At 53.8% G+C, this 2531-nt stretch overlaps 1 annotated feature.

The window, feature by feature from the left end:
* Nucleotides 434-645: a silencer, noted in NCBI's record as "fragment chrX:72288168-72288379 (GRCh37/hg19 assembly coordinates)". NCBI's record gives its function as "represses an EF-1alpha promoter that drives an FKBP-Casp9 reporter gene in an ReSE screen in K562 erythroleukemia cells {active_cell/tissue: K562}" and the evidence as "EXISTENCE:reporter gene assay evidence [ECO:0000049][PMID:32094911]".

Raw genomic sequence — 2531 nt, 5'->3', positions numbered from 1 at the left:
ACGGGGCGGCTGGGCAGAGGCACTCCCCACCTCCCAGACAAAGGGCAGCCGTTCAGAGGTGCTCCTCACCTCCCAGGCGGGGCAGCCGGGCAGAGGCGCCCCTCACCTCCTGGACGGGGCGGCCGGGCAGAGGTGCCCACTTCCCAGATGGGGCAGCCGGGCAGAGGCACTCCCCACCTCTCAGATGAAGGGGGGCTGGGAGAGGGACCCCTCACTTCCCAGGCGGGGCCTCCAGGCAGAGACGCCCCTCACCTCCCAGACAGGGTGGTGGCCAGGCAGAGGTGCTCCTCACTTCCCAGATAGGGTGGCAGCCAGGCAGAGATGCCCCTCACCTCCCAGATGGGGTGGCCGGGAAGAGGTGCTCCTCACCTCCCAGACGGGGCGGCTGGGCAGAGGCGCTCCTCACCTCCCAGACGGGGAGGCCGGGCAGAGGCGCTCCTCACTTCCCAGATGGGGTGGTTGGGCAGAGGCGCTCCTGACTTCCCATTTGGGGCAACCGGGCAGAGGCACTCCTCACTTCCTCCCAGACTGGGCAGCCAGGCAGAGGTGCTCCTCACTTCCCAGATGGGATGGCTGGGCAGAGGCACTCCTCACTTCCTCCCAGACTGGGCAGCCAGGCAGAGGCGCTCCTCACTTCCCAGATGGGATGGCCGGGCAGAGGCGCTCCTCACATCCCAGACGGGGCGGTTGGGCAGAGGTGCTCTTCACCTCCCAGATGATGGGCGGTTGGGCAGAGATGCTCCCCACTTCATAGACGGAGTGGAGGCCGGGCAGAGGCACTCCTCACTTCCCAGATGGGGCGGCCAGGCAGAGGGGCTCCTCACATCCCAGACGATGGGCAGCCAGGCAGAGACGCTCCTCACTTCCTAGACAGGGTGGCGGCTGGGCAGAGGTGCTCCTCACTTCCCAGAGGGGGCGGCCAGGCAGAGGCGCTCCTCACTTCTCATTCGGGGCAGCCAGGCAGAGGTGCTCCTCACTTCCTCCCAGACGGGGCGGCCGGGCAGAGGCGCTCCTCACTTCCCAGATGGGGCAGCCAGGCAGAGGGGCTCCTCACAACCCAGATGATGGGCGGCCAGGCAGAGACGCTCCTCACTTCCTAGATGGGGTGGTGGCCAGGCAGAGGCACTCCTCACTTCCCAGACGGGGCGGCTGGGCAGTGGGGCTCCTCACAACCCAGACGATGGGCAGCCAGGCAGAGATGCTGCTCACTTCCTAGATGGGGTGGCAGATGGGCAGAGGCTGTAATCTTAGCACTTTGGGAGGCCAAGGCAGGCGGCTGGGAGGTGGAGGTTGTAGTGAGCCGAGATCACGCCACTGCACTCCAGCCTGGGCAACATTGAGCATTGAGTGAGTGAGACTCCGTCTGCAATCCCAGCACCTCAGGAGGCCGAGGCGGGCAGATCACCTGAGGCGAGGAGCTGGAGACCAGCCCCGTCAACACGACGAAACCTCGTCTCCACCAAAAATACAAAAACCAGTCAGGAGTGGCGGTGCATACCTGGAATCCCAGGCACTCAGCAGGCCGAGGCAGGAGAATCACCGGAGCCCGAGGCAGGGAGGTTGCAGCGAGCCGAGATCATGGCAGTACAGTCCAGGCTCCGCAAGAGAGGGAGACCGTAGAAAGAGGGAGAGGGAGAGGGAGAGGGAGAGGGAGAGGGAGCGGGAGCGGGAGGGGGAGAGGGAGCGGTATTAACTTTTCTGTAAGTGATTGGTAGCATTAACCTATGAAGCCATCTGGGTCTGGGCTTTTCTTAGAAGAGAGTTTTAAAGATTTTGTGTACTAATACAACCTCTTTATTTATTGTAGATCCATTCAGATTTTAGGTTATGTTTTGAGTCAATCTCAGTAGTTTGTGGCTTTGAACGAGTTATTCCATTTCATGTAAGTGATCTAATACATTGGCATACTATTGTTCATAGCTTTCCCTTACAGTCCTTTTCATGTTTGTAAAGTTACTTTCTATATGCTTTTCTTCATTCCTAATTTTATTAATTTGATTCTTCTCACTTTTTTCTTGGTCATTTTAGCTAAATGTTTGTCAATATTGTTGATCTCTTCAAACAACCAATTTTAGGGTTTATTGATTTTTCTCTTTGTTTTGCTGCTATTTCATTAATATCTTAATATCTTCTGTAATCTTTTATTATTTCCTTTCTTCTACTTGATTTAACATTAGTTTGCTCCTCTTTTTCTAGTTTATTAAGTGGAAGTTCAAGTTATTACATTAGGATCTTCTATCTTAATATAGGCATTTACAGCTATCAGTTTCCCTCTAAGAACTGCTTTAGCTGCGTCCCATGTTTGGAGTAATGTATTTTCCTTATCATTCATCTCAAAATATCTTATAATTTCCCTTGTGATTTTTGCTTTGACTCAGTGGGTTTTTATCAGTATATTGTTCAATTTTCATATATTTATGAAAATTCCAAATTTCCCTAGGCTATTGATTTCTATTTTTATTTAATCTTATTTGGAGTATATACACTGTGTAATTTCAACTATGTTAATTTGTGTGGTTTGTTTAATGCTC

This window comes from Homo sapiens, chromosome X (genome assembly GCF_000001405.40).
Source record: "Homo sapiens chromosome X, GRCh38.p14 Primary Assembly".
NCBI classification, from domain to species: Eukaryota; Metazoa; Chordata; class Mammalia; order Primates; family Hominidae; genus Homo; species Homo sapiens.
Note: the sequence above shows the minus strand (reverse complement) of the source record. Positions and strands in the feature narration are given on the sequence as shown.